Below are 23,594 nucleotides of genomic sequence, written 5' to 3' on the forward strand. Positions count from 1 at the left end.
TCTTTACCCTTTGAGGAGTCACGAAAGGAGGCAGACTCTCACTTCCTTTGCAAATCTCTTTATTACTATTGAGATTTCAGTCAGTATCCAAGTCCTGCCAAGTTTTTCCCTATATCTCTACTATCCACATATCCAAAAGTGAGCATGGCTCACTTTTGCTCAGGAGCAGCTTTCGTTAGGCCACAAGCTGGCCATGAAGGTTGGCCTTACTTTCTCTTCCACTTGTCTAGTCCAAAATACCCTCAACAGGCCAGGGACAGTGGCTCACACTTGGTGTAATCCCAGCACTTTGGGAGGCCGAAGCAGGAGGATCGCTTGAGCCCAGAAGTTTGAGACCAGCCTGGGCAACATGGTAAAACTCCATCTAAAAAAAAAAAAATTTTGCCAGGCATGGTGGCATGGGCCTGAGGTCCCAGCTACTTGGAAGGCTGAGGTGGGAGGATCCCTTGAGTCCGGGAGATGGAGGTTGCTGTGAGCCGTGATCATGCCACTGCACTCCAGCCTGGGTAACAGAGCCAGACCCTGCCTCAAAAAAAAAAAAAAAAAAGAAAAAGAAAAAGAAAAAGAAAGAAAGAAAGAAAAACAGGAAAAAAAAGAAATAATACTCCTCAGGGATGTGGACTGCAGGCCTTTTGTGGCCTCTAGCTTTACTGTGGGCTGTTCTTGGGTACTGTCAATCATCAATTGTGAATAACAGTCTTTCCCTGTATCTGCAAGTGGGTGGAAACCATACCTCTTCTTCTTGCTGCTTTGACCTTTCAGTCTCCACAAAATTAGACACCAGGGCCTGGTAAGGTGATTCCAGAACAGAATTACAAAGTAGGAGAGACAAGGGTTAAAGTTTTGCAGCTCTACTTCGAATTTCCCCTTGTATCACCCAAGGGTCTTATGGTTTCAGACAGAGAGTCACCTTCCTGAATGCTTCTGCTTGACCTGCTGTAGATTCAAGTTATTACTCCAAATGGATCCCCTTCTTTGAATCTTTCAACTGTCCCTACTCCTCCACTGAAAGGAGCCTTATAGTCTGAGCCCTTCTTCCTTCCCACCCATACCATACACTGTCCAATCAAGTAAGGCCACAGGTTTGGGCTGCGAGGACCACACTGGGAAAAATATCCCTGCCTCTCTCTGTGTGTGTGTGTGTGTGTGTGTGTGTGTGTGTGTGTGTGTGTCTGTGTGTGCACGCGCTCATGTGTGTAGGTCGGGGGATGATTGGTGAACTGACTGTGGGTCCTCCAATCCATGTTTCCTATTCAATATTCCCTCCAGCAGGAACTCTGACCCTAGGGTTCCTTTGCTAACCAACCCATACATTAAACATGCACATGCACACACTTATACACATTCATAAAGATTATACAGCATAGTATCAAACCTGTATTGAGAACAGAATGTATCCACGATACTAATAAAGCTCATGCCCTGGCTGGAAAATAAATAGATCTGTAAAGAAAACTGACATCTTTACTGATCTCTTCAAGATTTTCAAGAGAGCTGGACTAACAATGAATTTCTCTCCATTTCACACTGGTCACATTACACAAGTTTTTTGTTTGTTTCAGAATTTGCCTCTGACTGAAATATGGGGACTTATGGGGTGTGAGTGAGTTTACCAGTTTCTCTCTAGGGCTGCCAGGTTTAGCGAATAAAAATGTGGAATGCCCAGTTAAACTTGAATTTCTGGTAAACCATGAATAATGTTTTAGTGTAAGTTTGCCCCATGCAATACTTAGGATATACTTATACTAAAAAATGTTTTTGATTTTTATCTAAAATTCAAATGTATCTGGGTACTCTGCATTTTATCCGGCAACTTTTTTCCTACCATATCTCCTTGTTCATCTTGAGTCTCACTGCTACCATTTAGTCTAGGGGTCCTCATCATCTCAAGTCTGGGTATCTGCAATACTTGCCTGGGTGAGCTTCCCAACACTACTCTTCTTCCAATCTTCTCCACCGCCCATTTTTTAGAACTGTTTTCTTTCCTTTTCTCTTTCTCTTTCTCTCTCCTTCCTTCCTCCCTCCCTCCCTCCCTCTTTCTTTCTCTTTCTTTCTTTTTCTTTTTCTTTCTTTCTTTCTTTCTTTCTTTCTTTCTTTCTTTCTTTCTTTCTTTCTCTCTCTTTCTCTCTCTCTTTCTTTCTCTCTCTCTCTCTTTCTTTCTCTTCCTTCCTTCCTTCTCTCTCTCTCTTTCTTTCTCTCTCTTTCTTCCTTTTTTCTTTCTTTTTTTTCTTTTGACAGTCTTTCTGTCGCCTGGGCTGGAGTTCAGTGGTGCAATCATGGCTCACAGCAGCCTTGACATCCCAAGCTCAAGTGGTCCTCCCACTTTAGCCTCCCTAGTAGCTGGGACTTCAGACACTACACCACATCTGGCTAATTAAAAAAAATTATTTTTTTATACAGATGGGGTCTCCCTGTGTTGACCAGGCTGTTCTCAAACTACTCAAGTGATCCTCGTTCCTTGGCCTCTCAGGGTGCTGGGATTATAGGCATGAGCCACCACACCTGGCTAGAAGCTACTTTCATTAAGTTCTCTTCCACCCAATAAATTATGATGACTCCTATTGCTTTCCAAAGTGACTTCCAGTCAGTGTGTACTTATATACCACATTTTAAGCATTTTAATGTAAACTTTTAAGTTTTCCTTCTTCTTTCACATTCCACATTTGGTCTGTCAGCAAATCCAGTGGGCCTCTCCTTCCAAATATATCTGCAATTTAATCACTTTCCACCACCGCCACTGCGTATTCTCTACTCCAATCACCTCCTGTCTCACCTGGGTTATTTCAAGACCTCCTAACAAAGTCTGTACATGCCTTATCAGAATAGCCAGAGTTATTCTTAAAATGTGAGTCAAGTAATGTCACTGCTCCACTGAAAACGCTATGATAGCCTCCCATCTCCCATAAAAGCCCAAGTCTTTATAATGACCCATAAGATCCTGTAAGATTGCCTCCCAGGCCACAGCTCCTAATGTTCTCCCCATCTCCTCACTGCCCTTTTTACCATCTACTCCCTAACCTGGCCTCCAGGATGGGCCTCCTATGGAGCAGGCATGCTTTCACCTTGGGCGCAGCCTTTTGCTTGCTGTTCCCTCCTCTCCCAGGTATTTGAATGGCTTGCTTTCTTCTTTCACGTCATTACTCTCACTTCCCCAACACTTTTAGCAATGTTTTCTGCCTTATTTATCTTATCAGTAGTTACTACTCTTTAACTTACTAAATATTTTACTGATTTATCTTGTTTATTGTCTATCTAGCACATAGCAAACATTTGGTAGATATTTGAGTGAATGAATGAATGACTGCAAAGATGATTTCCCTTGTTGAAGATATTTTTAAAATTGCATCATATATTTTGATGGCAATTCTAAAAGTGGTTTTCACAAAATAGTTTGAATAATCATTAAATGTGTGTGTAGTCTTCTAACATTATTGCTTTGAGTGAGTTAAAAAATTTTTAAAATTATAAAAATAATTACTGTTAGTAACTTTAGGTATAAATATAAAAAGTAATTTTGAAGAAAAATGTGTTGAAGAGATTACTAAATCTGAACAGATTTCCTTAAGAGGTAATTATGAATACAAATGTAGGACTCTGAGCTGTGAAGAGAAACTGAGTCATGAGTCATTTAAGACAGAGAAAATCATATCAGATAAGGCTTTAAAGGCAAAGAATGACTTTGCAGTGATTGAAAGTTGGGAGGCAATAATAAAAATTAGTATTAGTACCATATTGATATGTATTAAGGACGTACCATATGCTTGCATGGAGTTAAGTGCTAAGCACCATGTGTGGTAGGTACTTTCACTTTTCCATTTTATAGACACAAGTATCAAGGCTTTAGAGAAGTTACTTGCCCACTGTCCCAAAGTTTTCATGGTAGAAGCCACTCTTGGATAGATGTGTCTGATACCAAAGCCCAAGTCCCTGACTCCTGAGTGGTCCTGACTCTTATGTGGCCATTGGGCTATAACAGCAGCTTGCAGGGTGAAAATCCCTTGAGGCACCATTTTGGAGAACAACATGCCATTTTCCCGGAAACCTAACACAGCTAGAGTTTCCTCTACCACTGGACCAGATTGTAGCCATTTTGGCTGAACAACAGATAAAAGAACTGATCTGCAGTTAAGGCCAAGTTGTTTGAAAAATATACACTTTTAGAATTGGACATACATACCCATAAGGTGAGATGCTGGCAATACAAGAAGCACTTTGGAACAGAGACTGAGTGAATAAAGAGCAGAATCAAGTCTCCTATCAGAATGCTTCTGTACCACTTAAAAAGTTAATTCTTCTCCTTGCCCTGTTCTGTGTGTGTGTAGTTGATTTTTGCCTATTCCACTTTACGTTATAAAACCTTGCCAAAAGCCACACAGCTTTGCTGGTCTAGAGACAATTACTTAATTCTCCATAATATGGAAAATCTTGTTAAATATTTATTACTTACTGCAGCATATCCAAAGCAAAATCTGGCAGAGTCAGGCAGCATGTCAATCACGGGAGTATAGGCTTCAACTTCCTCCAGAATTAATCAACAAAAGGGATAGCTTCGACTGTGTCAAACAGAAAATACCATCATCGGAGATGCAGGCAAATAACTTTACTGTGAAAAGAAGGACAATGGTTACTTTAATTTGGTCTTCTCTCTCTGCTTAGGAATCCCACCTGATTTCCTGGTAGTGAGTGCTTATTATTTTAACACACTTGGTGACTGGGGGCTGGATGATGTCATGGCAATGGAGATCATTTTTCAGAATCTGAGAGAAAAATTCAGATGTCTCCCTTAGCCAGTCAGTATTCACGGTGTGCCCCCGACATTGTTGAGGACAGTTCTCAACCCTATTCCCACTGTAGCACATTGAGGCAAGAGGTATGCTTCTATCAGTGTAAGGCAGTGTTCTCAGAGGTGAGAGTATTGACCGCCCACTTCCCACTATAGGAAAGCAGAATTTGGGGAGTTTGTATTGAGTGTAGTTTGAAGAATTACATCCCCCTAAGAGGTATTACTCTCACTCTCCAATTGAGTATTAATTGGTTTAGAACAGTGGCACTTGTTTTGCAGTTGTTGGCATCCACCTAAGATGTTTCTTGGTATATGTGAAGTGGGGGCTGTCCCAAGGCTTTGTGCAGTGTCTGAGGAGATTTTATTAAAGAGCTGAGAATAGCACCTTGGGCAGGTTACAGCTTAGATGCCTTTCATGTTTACCTATTCTTTTTGAAAGAGGCTGCCCCAAGCACAGCCCTATAAAAAGACAGCAACACAGTCTGTTTATTTAGGATGGGTGGCCATGTTCTGTTGGCATGTGACCTTCCCATCTTAGCCACAACTGAAGAACTAGCACCTGGATCGGGGGCGGCCAGTGGCTTGTGAGACAGACTCAATATAAGAATGGTGATAGAATCAGATTCTCCCCCCTGGGGCATTTGGTTATGAGATATATGGAGAGAGTTGGCACCTGGTTGTGGGAACAGAAGTGGAAATACAGGCAGAGAGACAAAGAGCTGTGGTTACACAACTTGAATTATTGTGTGTTCTGAAGACATTTCATGAGTTGCAGCTGTGGTATGCCAGAGCTGGCTCTACGGCCCCAAAAACTGGTTGTGTGGATCCCTTCCCAACCCTGCCTTCAGAGACATCTGGTTGGTGGGAGTATTTGTACCATGTGAATTGGTTAATACTGTAGATCAGGGCCCCTAGCCCTTTCATCCAGATCTGGTTGTTAAATGTTTACCAGCACACCACTGGGTTGGGGGAGGGATGGTGTAGGAAGCAGGCAGAAGCAGCTACCTCCTCTGGGTCTTTACCCTTAAAATCAATGTTGAATGGAATATGGTAACATGATTGTTATTAAGGCTATAATAAAGAAGACATTTAAAAAGCATTGTAAAATACATGATTAAAATATCAATGGTTAAACTACAAAACTTATAGGAATGTGGTCAAGGGGGTAGTACCTTTCCCATTCCCCTAGCTTTCAAAGGCACAGGCCCCGCCCACCATGCCTACAAAGGATGATCTGACAAGCCAGGTAAGCCTCTGGTCTTATTTCCACATGTATTCTTTACCTTGGTTACTTGAGGTAACCTGAGTGCATACCAGTTACTTAAAACCAAAAGCGCCCAATGAATACAGTTTTTGAATGCCACTTTTTTTTAATGTAGAGAAAATAAGACAGATTAGTATGGTAAAAGTATATATGCACTTTAGAATGAGGATTTAATTCTAATACTACTTCACTTCTTCCTGGTAGCATATTACTTACCTATGCCTCAGTCTCCTTAGCTGTAAAATAGGGATAAAAATAATCTCAGAGATATTTGTAAGAATTAAATGAGATATCAGTTATAAAAAACATCTAGCACAGTGTCTGGCACTTATCATGCACTTAGTAACTTTAGTTCTTTTCTGCCACTCTTAGCATATTTATTCAAGCCTTTAGAATAGTGGTTGGCATTGCTGACAGTGATGTCAGCTATGTTGATACAATGAACTCTCTATTTTTACTAACATGAATTGGGTTGTAATGATATTGCATTTTTTATAATTCTATATTTTTGTATGTAAGGTTCTTCACTAAAATATTTTAAATATAGGCATAATTATTGCAATCCTTTGAAACATGCTTTACACTTAGGGAGCTTCTAAATTCCTTTCTACAAATGGCTGTGCCCATTTTATTTTTGTTTTTAAACAAACATTTGGACTATGGGCAAAGAACTTTGCAAAGTGTTGTGGGGGAAGTAGAAAAACAGACACTTATGTAACACAAGGCTATAAAAAAAGAGGAAACGGAGGGAATACTGAAGAGCTTCTTCAGTATTTCCAACTACCTAGGTTCTAGGTACCTAATTAAATAGTCATGTTATGTGTCATTTAAATCCTTTATTCATTGCATTACAATTTATTCACCATTACTTTATCTGGGTCATCTACCCTTAGTCCCATTATAATTGCCAATGCATTAAGGGTGACATTTGCCCATTTGCTATATGTAATTCACAGGATGTGGTGTTTTTCAGTACCAGATGTTTTGAGGGGAGCCACTTGCAATGGACTGTTTTTTGGTGTATGTGTTTTAATAGTTTGCCAGAACTGAGTTTGATTTGAAACAACGTTCTTGATTTTCAAATACAGCATTTTCAAACAAATAGTGTGATGTACAAATTACCATCACTTTAGTTCACGTTGAAATAATCCACACTCTAAATCTGTTTGACATTTACCCCTTAAGTATTTTGGATCAATAAATCATTTCTGTATCATCTAGCATCTTAAAATGTTCGTAAGTAACTACTTAATACCCTACATATCCAGGTCCTGTCCCATTAGTTTGAGGGAAAAAATATATTATAGTAATTAAGACATAATTATGTTGTCTTGAAAAGCTAAGGGTCATTTGGACTTGATTACCCAAGGAGTTATCAGTGCCAAGGAAAATTAGGCAACTACAGGCTTGGGCCTGTAATTAAACATCTAGGACTGACATTTTGTTCATCAGAGGTGGCACCTTCTGAATGAATTACACCATTTCATTTTAGACAAGCTACGGTACATACAAAACAAGTGTGTGGAGGGGGTTGGGGGGTGGACATGAATAGAGATTGGAGGTGGAGAGAAAGACCGGTGTAAACTTAAGCATTTTGTTGTGAAAAACTACTGTTCAGCCAGCCTGCCTGGGCTCCATATATGGTGTTCAAATATAAGTTTGGGACGAGCACCTTTGCAATTTTGGCCAAGAACACACACACACTCACCCTCCTCTGCTAGAGAGGGCCCGCTCACCTGGAACGCAGGCGGCTGGTTCTCCGTATTACAGTGAGTGCTCGTTCTGTATGTATAGGATGGCCAAGTAACTAACTGGCAGCCCTGCTCCTGCCTCACTCTCCCACAACTTTTTATCCCCTCACCACCAACGCTCTCAACAACCCCTGACACGTCTTCCCACAGGTCCCTGGCTCGCTGTCCGGTCTCTTCGTGTTGGTTTGTCCGTTTCCCACTCCTTCAGCGGTCTCAGGTGGAACACGCCAGGTGGGCGCTTGGCTGTGTTCTGGGGTCCCGAGTTGGAAAGGGATGCCCCCAGGCAGAAGGCGGCCGGCAGCCCTGGGGCAGAGGAGGACGAGGGGGAGGAGAGGAGCAGGAGGGCAGGGCAGAGAAGGAGGAGGAGGAGGACGGTGCAGAGGAGGAGGAGGAGGAGGAAGAGGACAGGGCAGAGGAGGAGGGAGTTGGCGGCCGCCGAGCCCCGGGCAGCGGGCCCCGTCCGCGGCCGGCGCGCTCCGTGGTCCTCCCTCGCTCGTCTCCTATGCTCATATTTGGACTCGGCTGCCCGTGCCCAGGAATTTCCCGTCATGCCTCCCGCCGCCCCGTCCGTCGCCCGGAGCCGGGGAGGGAGGGAGCGAGGTTCGGACACCGGCGGCGGCTGCCTGGCCTTTCCATGAGCCCGCGGCGGACCCTCCCGCGCCCCCTCTCGCTCTGCCTCTCCCTCTGCCTCTGCCTCTGCCTGGCCGCGGCTCTGGGAAGTGCGCAGTCCGGTAAGTTCGGGCTCCCCTCCCCTCTCCTCCTCGCCTCACCCCTCCCACCCCGACCCTGCCACGTTAGGGTGTGACCCCGAGCCGGGATTCCATTCTGCGCCTGCTGCGCCCCCTCGGCCACCTGCGGGGACAGCCCCTGCCTCAGCCGAGAAGGGGAGCAGAAGGGTTGCGCCCCGCGCCAGCGGTGAGGGGCCGAACGGAAGGAGGTCAGGGCTGGTTTCCCCCCACCCGCCGAAGGGAGGCGTCTGGCAGCCTCACTGACACCTTATCCTGTCCCGGGAGCGAACCTGAACCCGCGGGAGCCTCTCGCCCCGCGCGGGCCCAGGAGAGAGGGATCTGGCGGGGCAGCCCGCGGGAGGCAGGGGAGGGGTCCATCCCGGAGCCCTCTGCTCTGTGCGTCGACCCTGCCGGGGTTGCCGCTCAGATAACGGGCCCGAGGCGTGGGAACCGGCCCGCCAGGCCTGCGCTTTTCGCCGCGCGCCTCGGAGAGGACGGGGGTGCGGGGCGGCGGGCAGGCGGCAGGGAGGGGCGCACCCGGGAGCGCACCCGCCGCCCGCCCTCCCTGCGCTGCTGCCCCGCTGCTGGGCCAGACTCCAGCGGGCCCGCCTGGCATTTCACAGGCCAAAATCGAACAGAACCCCGAGTTTGCCAGGTATCAGTTTTGCTTTGTTTTTAAGCAGAAAAAGGCATCCAAGTCTATTTTTGAAGTTTTACACTGGGCTATTTCGAGTCAAACTATATGAATGAAAAGTGCTGTTCCTGCCTTATTTGGTTTAGGGCTAATAGCTATCGGAAGTGGCAGTTATGAAGTCGTTACAGTAAGACTTTATAAGATAATCTTCTTGAATCATGTGGGAACTGTTGGGGGGAATTTAATATCAGATTATTATTTTAAAAAGCAGTTATTTTAAAGTACAAAGGTAGGGATAAAGGTAAATGTGAAATTGCATGGACTTTTACGTTTGTGATGAGTAGTCGTCAAAGCTTCTTGCTTCTTAATTTTATCGGGAATGGAAGAATATAAATTATAATTCCTTAGAGCTGAGATTTCTTAGGAGATTTTAGTTTGCTTTTGTTTTTTCTACCAATAGACTAAATTGTCAAATAAGATATGGCAAACTAGGACTCATAAATTAGTTGAAACATGACTCTATGAAGCATAGATTATATTCAGTACTCTCTGGTTTATCTCTTCATATTTTCATTTGCAGCGCTGGTGGCAAGATCGATTTTCAAAAACAATTTTGTCTATAAAAAAACTTCAGGGTTCATATAACTTATAAAATTGTCAGTTCAGATTAATGGCAGATATTTACAATATTTAACTTTATTCAATTTGCAATTTGTAAATAGTAACTTGAGCAGTGATATCAGTTTCATGTTTCTTTCTGCATAGTATTGTTTTTCAAAAAAACCCTGTTTTTTATAGATTCATATTTTGGAAGTAACTTTAATAGCACTTCTTGGGAAATACAACAGGTTCTAATTTCACATTTTTCAATGGATTTCTAAAAAATACTGTGCTGGATAGTGAAGAGTGGATTTTATTGCCAGGAAACATATGTATGCTTTCTTTTTCCTCAGTGATGTGTTGACTTACCTAATACTTGTGGTGAAACGGCCTTCGAAGACCAGAATCCACTGTACTGGCCCCTTGCCAGTAATTTTGAACATCAAGTTTATATTTGGACCATTTAAACATATATTCTTTTAATTCCGGTCCCAGCTGATATATCAGTCTAATTTCTGATGACTTTTATTAGGGCCCTATATGAATATCTGGAAATTTTTATATTAAGATAAGTAGCTCTTTGCTACTTATCTAGAATTTTGTCACAGTGCTTAAACTGCTTGTATGGCAAGGTTGCAGCATACAATGTAATTTAGATTTTGAATCAACACACTGCTTTTTGTTTTTAAAAGTGCTTGTTCTAATATTTTAACTAAGATGTTAATCCATTAAGTCAGAAATCCTTGCTATTTTGCTCAACTCAAAAGAATATCCAAAGACTATCCCAACAGTAAGGTTCATCAGTTTTTCTAATACATATGCCATTTAATAATTAAAAATAGATTTTAAGGCCACGTGTGGTGGCTCATGCCTGTAATGCAACACTTTGGGAGGCCAGTGTGGGAGGATTGCTTGAACCCAGGAGTTCGAGACCGGCCTGGTCAACATAGGGATACCCTGTCTCTACAAAAATTAAAAAAAAATTAGCTGGGCATAGTGGCTCACTCCTGTGGTCTCAGCTACTTGGGAAGCCAAAGTGGGAGGATTGCTTGGGCCAGGGAGATCGAGGCTGTGGTAAGCCGTGATCACACCACTGCATTTTTGGTTCTGTCATAATCTGGTCACAATCCCTCTAATTTATCTGCACCTGTATAATTAATTTATCATAGTTATGGATTTGGTTGATGAATTTGATTCCCATGTTTAGCTTCTCGGTAAAATTATTAAGTTGGACAGTTTCCATGTCTCTTCTAACTCCAAGATCCTATAATGTTGTTTTTGTTTATGTAACTCTTCAGAGCCACCTACTACATGTGGTTCAAACTTCTGATTGTCAGCCTGTGACTTGCTATACATGTCAAACTGGCCTACCTTAGCCAGATGTGATGGGTGTGGTCCAGTGTTGGAGAGTCCGGATCTGTCTCAGGATTGTGTTAATACCTGGAACATGCACAAAGATACATACATACCTGGACAGATTCCGTGTTAAGCTTCTATCACTTTTTCTTCCTCATCTAATAGCAGAAAGTGCTGATTATGTCATAGGGTAAATGCCTAACTGGTTTTTGGGGATAGTTAAGCCCAGGCCTTAAGACAGTTTGATATTCAGTTTTGTTATTTAGGTCTGGGTTAGGGATACCGCCAGAGAGCATCCAAACATTTCTGTGGTTGGGAAGGCTAGTTATCTGTGAGCATTCCAGATGAAATAGCCTATAATGGGTTATCACCTTTTGATCTTACCTCAGAGAAGATTGAATTGGATCTACCTATCTGATTTAGCAGAATTAAACTGGATTTGGATGGAAGGGTAATCAGCTATTTAATTTGCCAGTTGTTAGTTAGCATTTCTTCTTGCTGTATCTCAAGGATTTACTTTGAATATTCTGTATTTTCTCTTTCCTGCCCATGATGGGTTTTCCTTTTAAAATGCTCAGCACAGGCTGGGTGTGGTGGCTCACGCCTGTAATCCCAGCACTTTAGGAGGCCGAGGCAGGCAGATCACCTGAGGTCAGGAGTTTGAGACCAGCCTGGCCAACACGGTGAAACCCTGTCTCTATGAAAAATACAAAAATTAGCCGGGCATGGTGGTGGGCACCTGTAATCCCAACTACTCAGGAGGCTGAGGCAGGAGAATAACTTGAACCAGGGAAGCGGATGTTGCAGTGAGCCAAGATCATGCCACTGCACTCCAGCCTGGGCGACAAGAGCAAAACTCTGTCTCAAAAAAAAAAAAAAATTGCTCAGCACAGTCCCTCATCCATGTTCATATATTTGTCTGTATAGTATGCTGAAGTCATGTTTATGGCTTTAAGGGAAGTACAAAAAAGGAAAGTATAGAAAAGATCAAACAAACGCATCGAACAATTGACTTTATGAAAGATTTTGGTTATTGCCTCATTTAAGCTTCTATTGCAGTAACAGAAATGAACTAGTTTTAGCAAAAAGGAAGAAAGGAATTTGTTGGAAAACCATTGGAAGTCAAATGCAGGCAGACCTCATTTAGGGCCTGAGATAAGGGACTGGAAAAATCTAGAACATTCCCTGTCTCTAGTTTGCTTCACTGTTTTTTCTTTGCTGGTGTTTTTTTTTTTTTTTTTCTCTTCATGGTTAGATGTGGCTGCTCAGCAGCTCCTGAGTATTTATGTGTCCCTTCATAAGGAGGGACTATATTATTGAGCCTTGATCCTAAATTCCTGGGAGGTAGAACCTGATAGACACAGTTTAGGTCACATGGTTGACCTAGATTTTCCCTAAAGTCTCTTCTAATTCTAGAGTATCTGATGTACGTAGTACAGCCATGTAGATGGTTTGATTTTGCATTTTTCCATTTTATGTTATGAGGTTATAGTCCTTAAAATGAATTGTGAACATTTTCTCTGATAACAACTAATTCACTCTGCAAATAATCATCTGCATATTTTCAGGAATTCACTGAATAAAATGCTGACCTCCAGTGGCTCTTTAGGATAAGTTCATTAAAACTATAAGTGGTAGAGATATTTGAAACAGTAATAGCTTAGGGACTGAGAATTTATCAGTTGTTTTCCTATTTCTCACACATATCTAACATTTTCTGTCTCTACCTTTCCTTTAGGCTGTTCCTACTGCCTGGACCTCTTCTCTATCACAACAGGTTGAAGTCTTTAAGGCCTCTGTCAGATGGTAGTTTGTGACATTTTCTTCATACCACAGAATTTGTAATTTCCTTGTGCTTCTAAGGTGTTTTGGACCATGGTTGGAGTACAAGTTTTACTATATTGTCTTGTGTTGTAGTTAAGTCCATATATATTCAACTTCACTAAACTATAAATTCCATATGTCAGTGAATCACCTAGAATTTTTTTTTTTTTTTGAGATAGGATCTCACTCTGTCACCCAGACTGGAGTGCAGTGGCACACTCATGGCTCACTGCAGCCTCGAACTCCCTAGAATCAGGTGATTCTCCCACTCCAGCCTTCTGAGTAGCTGGGCCTACAGGCACCTGCCACCATGCCCAGCTAATTGTAGTATTTTTTTGTAGAGATGGGGTTTCACCATGTTGGCCAGGCTGGTCTTAAACTCCTGACCTCAAGTGATCTGCCAGCCTTGGCTTCCCAAAGTGCTAGGATTACAGGCATGAGCCACTGCACTCAGCTAGAAGAATTCTGATAGGCTCTGAGCATCCATTGTTCCAGGTATAACAATTCTGACTTTTTCAGATACTCTGATGCTTTTATGGTATCCTGCTTGCTGCTGTCTTCTTTTGAAATTGGAGTTCAATCACTCTGCTTTTCTTTCTTAATACTTGTCTGTTTCCTAGATTTTACATGCTTTTCCATGAACACTAATTTCCTGTATGAAGAGGGAATATACAAATGATAGGATGCTTTCCTGTAACTGAGATGGCAGGGGGAAGGAGAGGACAGCAACTCATACAGAAGGAAATCAGCTTTTGTTGAGCACCCAGAATTTACCAGATCAGATAGAGAGGACAGGTGTAGAAGAAAATGAGCATGTATAAAGTGGAATAGTGGGACAATAAAGTACAAATATGGAAAATTAAGTGGAAGGCTTTTAATGCTGTTAGGGAACTTGGATTGGGTTAGTAAGTTATGAGACTGACATTTTTGATCCTTGAAATGTCATAATCAGAGGTGAATTATAGGTTATATAATCCAATAGTTTAGATAATTAATTAAATTGGGAAATAAGTCATAGGACCAATAAAGAAGTGTTTTGAGAGTTTCTCTTAAGGAATGAAGACCTAACGAGAATAGCGGCACCGCAGTAGAAGTGTTGCTAAAGTACATTGGACAGAAATAAGCAATTGGATATTGGGAAAGAAAGGGATGAATAAAAGGTGACATGAGATGTTAAGCCTGGGTGATGGAGAGAATGTGATCTCAGCAGGTTTGTGGGTGGAGGTAAAAATAAGTTTTGTTCTAGATCTCTTGCTTTTGAGGTGCTGGTAGGATATTCCTGTGGAGATGTGTAGTAGAATCCGAAGTGTGAAACTGGAACTTGGAGGGAGAGATCAAGGCTGGAAATAAAACATGTATGAGTAAGGAGAGTTAAAAATAAAGAGAAAAAGAGAGCATTTGTTAGCTGGAGTAAAAGGAAGGGTACAGGAAAAGCATCATAGAGAAGAGAGAATTTGATCTGACTTTAAAAGATGCCGAGTCGGTATATGGCATTCTGTTCACGAGCTTTCCTTGTTGAGGGGACATCACATTTACTAACTTGAGAGATAATACATGGGAAGTGTTGGACAAAGGATACTGCATCCAGAATGACCTTTCTAAACTACAAAATCATTTCCCCTCTTTCCTGCTTAACCCTCCCTCAGTGGCTTCTTATCTTTCTTCAGATAAAGGACTGACTCCTAAATGTCTTCATCATCACCAATTTGAACACACATTGTGTCTCACACTCCTCCTCGTTCCTCACTCTTCTTCCCCAAGACTGGACAGAATGTGAAGAAGATATGATTTCCACCAGATGGAGTACTCTTTATACTTTTTTGGGGTCCTTTATGGTTACTTTTTGTGGCCATGGTCAGGTTCTTATCCATAAAATAATTATTGATAACTTCCTAATGTAAAATGAAAAATAATGATAAATCACATACTTCCCTCATTTTTACAGAATTCCTTGCTTGCCTTATCTCTTCAAGTGTTGACTGCAAGGTTCCTGTACACTTACTTGAGTTGGCCACTCCGGTCACTATACCCTGATCTCTGACACTTGGCCGTGGTAGCCTGGAGCAGCATTGTTACTGGGCATTGCTGTGATTGGGTTACCCAGCTGTGCTGATGTGGAAACCTCAGGGCTATTTATTGATACTTGGTTTCCTAAAGGAAAGTTGAGGGAATGTATTTTATGAGAGGGCTTTATTTACACGATTAAAGAGGTTTATAAAATGTGGAGATGAATATAGGTGAAACAGAGAAAGAATGCTGGTATAGGAGGTGTTTTCGGCTGGGTTTGGTGGCTCATACCCGTAATCCCAGCACTTTGGGAGGCTGAGGCGGGTGGATCACTTGAGTCCAGCCTGGGCGGCGTAGTGAGACCCATCTCTACAAAAACTACAAAAATTAGCTGGGCATTGTGTTGCATGCTTGTAGTCCTGGCTACTCAGGAGGCTGAGGTGAGAGGATTGCTTGAGCCCAGGAAGCAGAGGTTGCAGTGAGCCAAGATCGTGCCACTGCACTCCAGACTGGGCAATAGAGTGAGACCCTATCTCAGAAAACAAACAAAAATCCCCAAAAAACCAGGAAGTGTTTTCTTAGGGTCTAGTTCCCAGGCGAATGGTATATCCTGATTCTAGGTTTATAAAAATAGTATATTATTCATAACATTTGTCTAAAGTGACACATTTACATACAGTATATAGTATTGAGTAATTTCCAACTCTTTAAAAATAATGGAGACCCTTTCATGTAGTAGTAACTATGTTTTTAGTATCTGTTGACTGAGAAAATACGTAACAGCAAAAGCTACTATAAAACTTTGAAATAAGTTCTTGTAAATGTAAAAAAAATTCTCATATATTTGGAAAGTATACATGTGGAAATTATGACTTATAGAGTCTATGGACACTTGATTTCTTGCTTTATGGATACTCTCAGGAAGTTCTGGTCTCAACTTTGAGTATCTCATTGTCCTCTTACTTTAGAATGTGGGGTATGGGGGAAAACTTCTATTTGAAAATTTGAGCCATAGCGGAAATTTTGGAATGACAGGGAAACACCTTCTCAGAATCCTCTTACAATAAAATTTATATATGTTATGCCAGACAATGTACTTTATACTAAGACTGGACTTTTAAATAGTCTCATGGATTAGAAGTCAGATACAATAAATAAATACTTTTTAAAAATTATATTTTTAGGTATATGAGCATTGTTGTTGGGACTACAGTGCTATTTTAAAGTGAAATTTAGTTGATTTGCATGTGAGTATACACCTACAGGTCTCTGTTATAGCCGTGACATGTCTTCTGTTACTATAAATTACATAACAAATCCTTATGGTTTCTTGGGTCACTTATTTTATTTAAAGACAAAAACATCTTTCAGTACATATGTAAGACTTAAGGCATTATTGAAAATAAGCCTGTGCTACATGGTAGAATCTATTAAAAAAAAAAAAACACTCAGGCAAGGCACAGTAGTTCATGCCTGTAATCCCACCACTTTGGGAGGCAAGGAAGGAGGATCACTTGAGGCCAGGAGGTCGAGACCAGCCTGAGCAACATAGGAAGACCTAGCCTCTACTAAAAATTAAAAAAAGAAATTAGCAAGGTGTGCTGGCATGCACCTGTGGTCCCACCTCCTCTGGAGGCTGAGGTGGGAGAATCGCTTGAGCCCAGGAGTTCGAGGCTACAGTGAGCTATGATTGCACCACTGTACTCCATTCTGGGTGACAGAGCGAGACCCTTTCTCAAAAAAAAAAAAAAAAAAAAAAAAAGCAAAACCAAAAACCGAAAAACAACTCAGGACAGTCTTTGTATAAATTAGATAGCCCTAAATTTTATGTTTGTTCTTTCATTTCTCTTTTTTTTTTTTTTTTGGCTGCCGCCCAGGCTGGAGTGCCATGGCAGGATCATAGCACACTGCACACTGTAGCCTTGACCTCCTGGGCTCAAGTGATCCTCCCACCTCAGCCTCCTGAGTAGCTAGGACTACAGGCTTGTGTCATCATGCATGGCTAATTTTTTAAAAAAAATTTATGTAGAGATAGGGTCTCCCTATGTTTCCCAGGTAGGTCTTGAACTCCTGGACTTAAGCAGTCCTCCCACCTTGGCCTCTCAAAGTGCTGGGATTATAGGCATGAGCCTCCACGCCCAGTACATTTCTTTTGTTTTTATTGTGTTTGATTGTCAGAGAACCTGAGTTTGGTTGGGGTTGAGAGAGAACTATAGGGCCTATTATAGGTGAATACTTATTTTATCTTAGATTAGTGGTGTGTAGCTAAGGAAAGGTAAGGTCATATCTTCCTGTAACAGTCCAGATTAGATAGGGAAATGGGTGAAAAGCCACAAGTTGTTTTGCAACTCTGGTCTCACAGTAATTGAGAGCAAAAAGGAAAAAGTGCACTGTAGTCCCCCTTGTTTCTGATTTTGTGGGGTGTGAATATGCCTTCTAGTCAGATCGCCTTAGGGGGCCAGGAAGAGGAGGGTTGAGGGCAGAGCATGTTTACCTGCGTGCAGAGCCACTTGAAAAATTATAGGCTCATTTACATATTTGCATCCTTGTGTATGTGTTTGTGTTGCAGGGGAGTCAGTGTAGTATTATGAAAAGAACATTTGACAGTGAATTGGAAAACTAGGTTTTTCTAGTCTTGTTTTTGCCTGAGTCGTTTAAGCTTCTTGTGCCTCAGTTTTCATATCTGCAAAATGAATGAATTGGACTGGGTAATACCTGGTGTTGCTTTAAGATTCTGTAGGCTGGGCATGGTGGCTCTTGCCTGTAATCTCAGCACTTTGGGAGGCTGAGTCGGGCGGATCACGAGGTCAAGAGATTGAGACCATCCTGACCAGCATGGTGAAACCCCATCTCTACTAAAAATACCAAAATTAGCTGGGCGTGGTGGTGTGTGCCTGTAGTCCCAGCTACTCAGGAGGCTGAGGCAGGAGAATCACTTGAACCCGGGAGGCGGAGGTTCCAGTGAGCCAAGATCATGCCACAGCACTCCAGCCTGGCAAGAGAGCGAGACCCCGTCCCCCCCGCAAAAAAAAAAAAAAAAGATTCTGTAATTTAAGGATTATTTTAAAGTCTCCAACTTTCTGTAATTTTTAATGGAAAAATATAGTTAATACAGTATGCAAAATTATGTCTTTTTAAAAAATATTTTGTTCAAGTTGACTATCTTGTGCGATTCACTATAAGTGTTACACTGCATCTAAGATCTTATGTTTGAACTTCGTAGCCTAGTGTGCCCAGTAATTTGAGCTACTGGCAAAGTTACATAACCCTTTTAAAGATTTAGTATTTAAAGAATAGATTACAATGTATCAGAAGCATCATATTAAATATCCCATCTGAAGTAATGGTATTAAGGACTAGAAATTATGTCTTTCTAAATGTACAGCTGGGAATTGCTTATTTATGCTTGACAATAGATTTCAGATGAGAAAAGTCCTCATTTAGCAGGATATATTACCATTGGAATTTGCCTCTGATTACCCTATTAAATATATTTAACTCTTAAGGTTGGTTAATCTGGTCTTATTTTTAAAAAAAACTTCACTGTGAGTTTTAAAGAAAAAAACTTGGCTAATTTGATGATTTTAAAAAGTATCTTCTCTTGCCTGTAAAATTCACTTATAAGATTTGTCCTTTTTATGAGAGAATATTTTATACACAAAAAAGAATATATAGTGTCTATATAAGGTATAAAGAATATTTTAAAAAAATCTGGGTACCCTCATCCAGCTTCAGAAATGAAATGTGAAAGATGCCTGTGAGACACACATTTCCTGTACTCAGAAGTACCCATAGTCCTATATTTTGTGATTATCATTGAACACAAATAACTGATAAACCTTGCTTTCTTTATAGTTTTATCATAGATGTATGTCTCTATATCATATTGTTCAGTTTTGCATATGTTAGAACATTATATAAATGTTATTGGCCGGGCGTGGTGGCTCACGCCTGTATTCCCAGCACTTTGGGAGGCTGAGGTGGGCGGATCACCTGAGGTCAGGAGTTCGAGGCTAGCCTGGCTAACAAGGCAAAACCCTGTCTCTACTAAAAATACAAAAGTTAGCCGGCATGGTGGCACGTGCCTGTAGTCCCAGCTACTCAGGTGGCTGAGGCAGGAGAATTGCTTGAACCGGGAGGCAGAGGTTGCAGTGAGCCAAGATTGTGCCATTGCACTCCAGCCTGGGTGACAGAGTGAGATTCTATCTAAAAATAAATAAATAAATAAAAGTTATCATCTGCTGTGTATCCTCTGTGACCTGCATTTTTTATCTTTTTAAATTGTATTTTAGGTGCAAGGGATACATGTGCAGGTTTGTTACATGGGTAAAGTACATGTCATGGGAGTTTGGTGTACAGATAATTTTGTCACCCAGGTAATCAGTATGGTATAGGTAATTTTTCAATCCTCACCCATCTTCCACCCTCAAATAGGCCCCAGTGTCGATTGTTCCTTTCTTTATATCCATGTGTACTAGATGTTTAGCTCCCACTTAGAACATGTGGCATCTGGTTTTCTTTTCCTGCATTAATTTGTTTAGGATTATGGTCTCCAGTTCCATTCATGTTGCTTCAAAGGCCATGATCACATTTTTTATAGCTATGTAGTATTCCATGATGTATGTGTACCATGTTTTCTTTATCCCCCACAAAATTATGTTTATGTTATCTATATTGGTGTATATAACTCATCTTTCTAAAACTTAGCATTTATTATCCATATGTTTTTCTACTTTTTAATTTATTTATGCTCCTTGGACATTTATCCATTAGGATTCTTGTGTTTTCCTATGGAGTCAAATCTGTATTTTCTCCTATTACTTTCAAGCTTCATTATCTATATATTTAATAATAATAGTGATGATAATAGTGATAATAATACCAACCACTTACAGATATGTGCTATGTGTCAGGCACTATTCTAAATATTTATTTATTACAGTTTTATCAAGGAAGTACAATATCATCATGATAAATCATATATTAAGATTAAGGACTGAGGCAAGAGTGTTCAGTAATTTGTATGACTGTGATTTAATCTGGCAGTCTGACTCCAGAGTCTGTGTTTGTAATCATTCCACTACTTTGACTCCTATGTAGTCTTTTCTTTTAATTATGCCTTTTCCCATTTAACTTTTTAAGATATTTAAACATTTCTATGACATTCAAAAGAGAATGGCCCTAGTGTGATGTTCAAATGGGTTCTACTGTACGACACCGGTTGCTCAAAGCCATGACACAATGTAATTTTCCATGATTTTGTTCTACAGGTCTTTTAAAAATTCTCTGGGATTCACTATTGCTTTTCTTTTTCCTAACTGGGGGGAAAAGTATGCCTTATTTGTTATCCTTCTAAAATATTTCAGTTTTTTACTTTTGGTCTGTGGTTTGGAATTGATTCCCTTGATTTCCTTTGTGTGTTCGGACTAGTTTCTTCATATTTGGACAATGCCCTCCTCTTTTGAAAAATATTGATATGACCTTAGATGAATCACTTAATCTTCCTGAGCTTTGACTTTTTCAAGTAAGTTGCATCTGTTAAGTAATGAATATTTTAAAATCAGACATATATAATTGCTAATCAGAACTCCTTTTCAGTATGAAATAACCAAGGGAGTTCATGAGGGGAAATAAAGTTTTTGATAGTGATTGGAAACTACTGATTTTACCCAAACCCCTCAAATTACAGAAGAAACATTGGCAGAGATGTACCACAACTTTGTAACACAACTTTCTTTTACAGCTTTAATTTTTTCCTAAGGTAGCTAGCTAATTATCTTTTTTCCTGTATTCTGTGGCTTTCTTTTTTTTTTCTTTTTGCGATGGAGTCTCACTCTTGTCACCCAGGCTGGAGTGCAGTGGCACGATCTCGGCTCACTGCAATCTTTGCCTCCCAGGTTCAAGTGATTCTCCTACCTCAGCCTCCTGAGTAGCTGTGATTACAGGCGCCTGCCACCATGTCTGGGTAATCTTTGTATTTTTAGAAGAGATGGGGTTTCTCCATGTTGGGCAGGGTGGTCTTGAACTCCTGACCTCAGGTGATCTGCCCACCTCGGCCCCCCAAAGTGCTGGGATTACAGGTCTTTTCTCTTGGTTTCCACAGCCAGCTTCTGTGGCTTTTTTGATGTCTTAAAGTTTTTCCAAGCTCTTGGGTAATTTCCTAATATCCCTTATTTAAACATGTTTAAATATCTCTCATCTTAAAAAAAAAAAAAGCCTGCTCAAACCTGCCCCCACCCAACGATCAATCTATTTTACAAGTTGCTTACATCCTTGCTGTTTCTGTTTATCTGCCATCCTTCCAAAAATATGTATTGAGCCCTGTTACATGTCAGGCACTAACTTATCTAATCTGAGGTTACAGTATGGACCAGAGAAACACAGGACCTCATTCTCAGGGTCTTTCGTTCTCAGTTTGGAACCAGCATGGCATGTTGTAGAAAGAGTAAGTAGACTATTTTGTGGTAGGAGCAAGAGAGAGCATGGTTAGAGTTTAGGGCAAAGAAGAAGACCAGATTATATGGGGCTTTTAGATCATTATGAGGAGTTTAGATAGTGTTCTGTGTGATGGAAGCCATTAGAGGATTTTAGGTAGGCAGTGGCAAGATCTGATCTGCATTTTAAAATAATAACTCCAGCTGCTTTGTGTTGAACGGATTGTAGGGGCCAAGAGTGGAGGCAGTAAACCATTTAGGCCTACTTCAGTGGTTCAGATAGGAATTGATAATGGTTTGGACCACAGTGGTGGTGGCAGAACTGAGACCTTGCTGATTGGATATAAAGTCTAAGGAAAAGAGAAGAATCATCTATACTATTCCACTGAAACAGTTTTGGTTGAAGCCACTAATGGTGTTCATATCATTGAGCCCAGTGAGCTCAATTTGGTCCCTGTCTTCCTGACTTCAGAGCGTTTGATACACTGACCACCCATTCCTTCTAGAAATTGTCTTTTCTCTTGGTTTCTGTTATTGTTAGACACATGATTTTAGGCAAATTAGTTATCTGTGCCTCAGTTTTGTCACTTATAGAATGGAGATAATATTGTATCTACCACATAGGTTATTGTAATCATGAAATGGGAGGATATATGTGAATTACTTAGCACAGTAATTCTCAGAGTTAATTCCCAGTAAGTTAACTAGCGTTGTCATTGTCATCGTCATCATCATCATCATCATCATTCTGGGACAACACTTTCCTTGACCTCTCCTTTTTTTGGCCTCTGCTCCTTCTTGATCTTCTTTGCTAGTTCTTTCTCCTTCAACTCACTTCTGAATGTTGAAGTTCTCAGGGCTCTGATATTTACTTTTCTCATTTAGTACACTTTCTTAGACAATCTTATTTATTCCATGGCTTTAGTTCTGTCTGTATATAATCAACTGTCCACATCTACCGCTCAGCCCAGTTCTCAATCCTGAGCAGAAAGAGGAAAAGATGAGCAGCAGCCCTGAGGTAAGAGTGTAGCTCATTGAAGATTGGGAAAGAAGAGTAGTGTGGTGCTCTTCTAGATTTTAAAGGATTTGGGAAGCACTGCCATGCTGCCTCTTGAAAAAGACAGCCAACCTGAGAAATACTGGGGGCATTGCCTGGAAATCCTGGATGGCATTCCAATCAGAAAAAAGAAACTTCAATATACAGACAGAACTAAAGCCATGGAATAAATAAGATTGTCTAAGAACGTGTACTAAATGAGAAAAGTAAAAAGTAAAAGCAGAATTCCATGTATTCATTTGCCTCTATATTATCTCCATTTAAATGGCTGTGTCTTAGATACCATAAACACATCACAAGCTGAACTTTTTTTGCCTGAACTTAAGCCTCCCCACCTTGTTACCTAGCTTAATAAATGGTACTGCTATTTGCCCAGTTACTTGAGCCAGAATTGAAGTCCTCTTAAATTTTTTTTATTGATCTCATGTCCTGTGTCATTTCTTTGCCTAGATTTCTGCAATGGCTTCCTAAAGTGTCTCACCACCTTTGTTCTTACACCGCTCCCATCCATTTTCCACCTTTTAGTCATGTTTCTCTTTTTAGTTTGCAGATTTGATTATGTTCTCCTTCACTTACTTCCCTTTCTTTTTGGGACGAAGTTCCAAATTCTTATACTGGCTTCTAAGGTTTGCACCTGTCAGCCTTATCATTTTCTCCCCTGCTCCTCACTGACACCTCCACCACACTGCTCTTCTTTCCCAGTCTTCAATAAGCTACACTCTTACCTCAGGGCTACTGCTCATCTTTTCCCGTGTCTGGAATACTTCTTTCCTTATTCTTAATCTGGGCAACAGTCTTAGCCTTTATTCTTAGTTTAAATGTTACTTCCTCCAGGAAGGCTTTCTCATGCCCCACAAGCTACAGTACATCCCTCTGTTGTATAGGATCTTCCCCACTCTGCTTCTATGTCATCCTTACTGCACTTGTTCATAATGTCTTTTGCTTCACTAAGACGTAAGCTTCATGGTGGCAGGGACCATGGCATCTTGTTTCTCACTTTCTCCCCAGCTTCTGTTTGTTAAATAGAGTGAGGAATAAATGCAGCATGGGCATGCCCATTTTGGGGAATGAGAGGCCTTCTGGCTGGGTTGGTGTGTGTTTGTTTTAATCTTTCAGTGTGACAAAAGAGGAGAACAGAAAAGTTTCAGTTTTCTGT

General features: G+C 41.0%; 1 protein-coding gene across 7 annotated transcripts in view, besides 2 other annotated features; it reads left to right on the forward strand.

Annotated features, from left to right (window-relative positions):
* Positions 8,347-23,594, forward strand: part of MSRB3 (methionine sulfoxide reductase B3) — a 188,225-nt gene continuing 172,977 nt past the window's right edge. For 3 of the 7 annotated variants that reach the window (NM_001193460.2, NM_001031679.3, NM_198080.4), the window contains exon 1: positions 8,347-8,529. Coding sequence is in view for 1 of the 7 variants with exons in the window: in NM_198080.4 (NP_932346.1) it covers positions 8,433-8,529 (97 nt within the window). In the remaining 6 variants the exon portion in view is untranslated. Of the gene's footprint in view, positions 8,530-8,620; positions 9,182-23,594 lie in introns of those variants that run through there. The other 4 variants (XM_024448919.2, NM_001193461.2, XM_024448921.2 and 1 more) reach the window with 3 other exon arrangements.
* Positions 8,557-8,686: a silencer, noted in NCBI's record as "silent region_4632". NCBI's record gives its function as "represses an Ori minimal core promoter by ATAC-STARR-seq in GM12878 lymphoblastoid cells {active_cell/tissue: GM12878}" and the evidence as "EXISTENCE:reporter gene assay evidence [ECO:0000049][PMID:35858748]".
* Positions 8,787-9,096: a silencer, noted in NCBI's record as "silent region_4633". NCBI's record gives its function as "represses an Ori minimal core promoter by ATAC-STARR-seq in GM12878 lymphoblastoid cells {active_cell/tissue: GM12878}" and the evidence as "EXISTENCE:reporter gene assay evidence [ECO:0000049][PMID:35858748]".

The sequence above is a fragment of the Homo sapiens genome, chromosome 12 (assembly GCF_000001405.40).
Source record: "Homo sapiens chromosome 12, GRCh38.p14 Primary Assembly".
Lineage (NCBI taxonomy): Eukaryota > Metazoa > Chordata > Mammalia > Primates > Hominidae > Homo > Homo sapiens.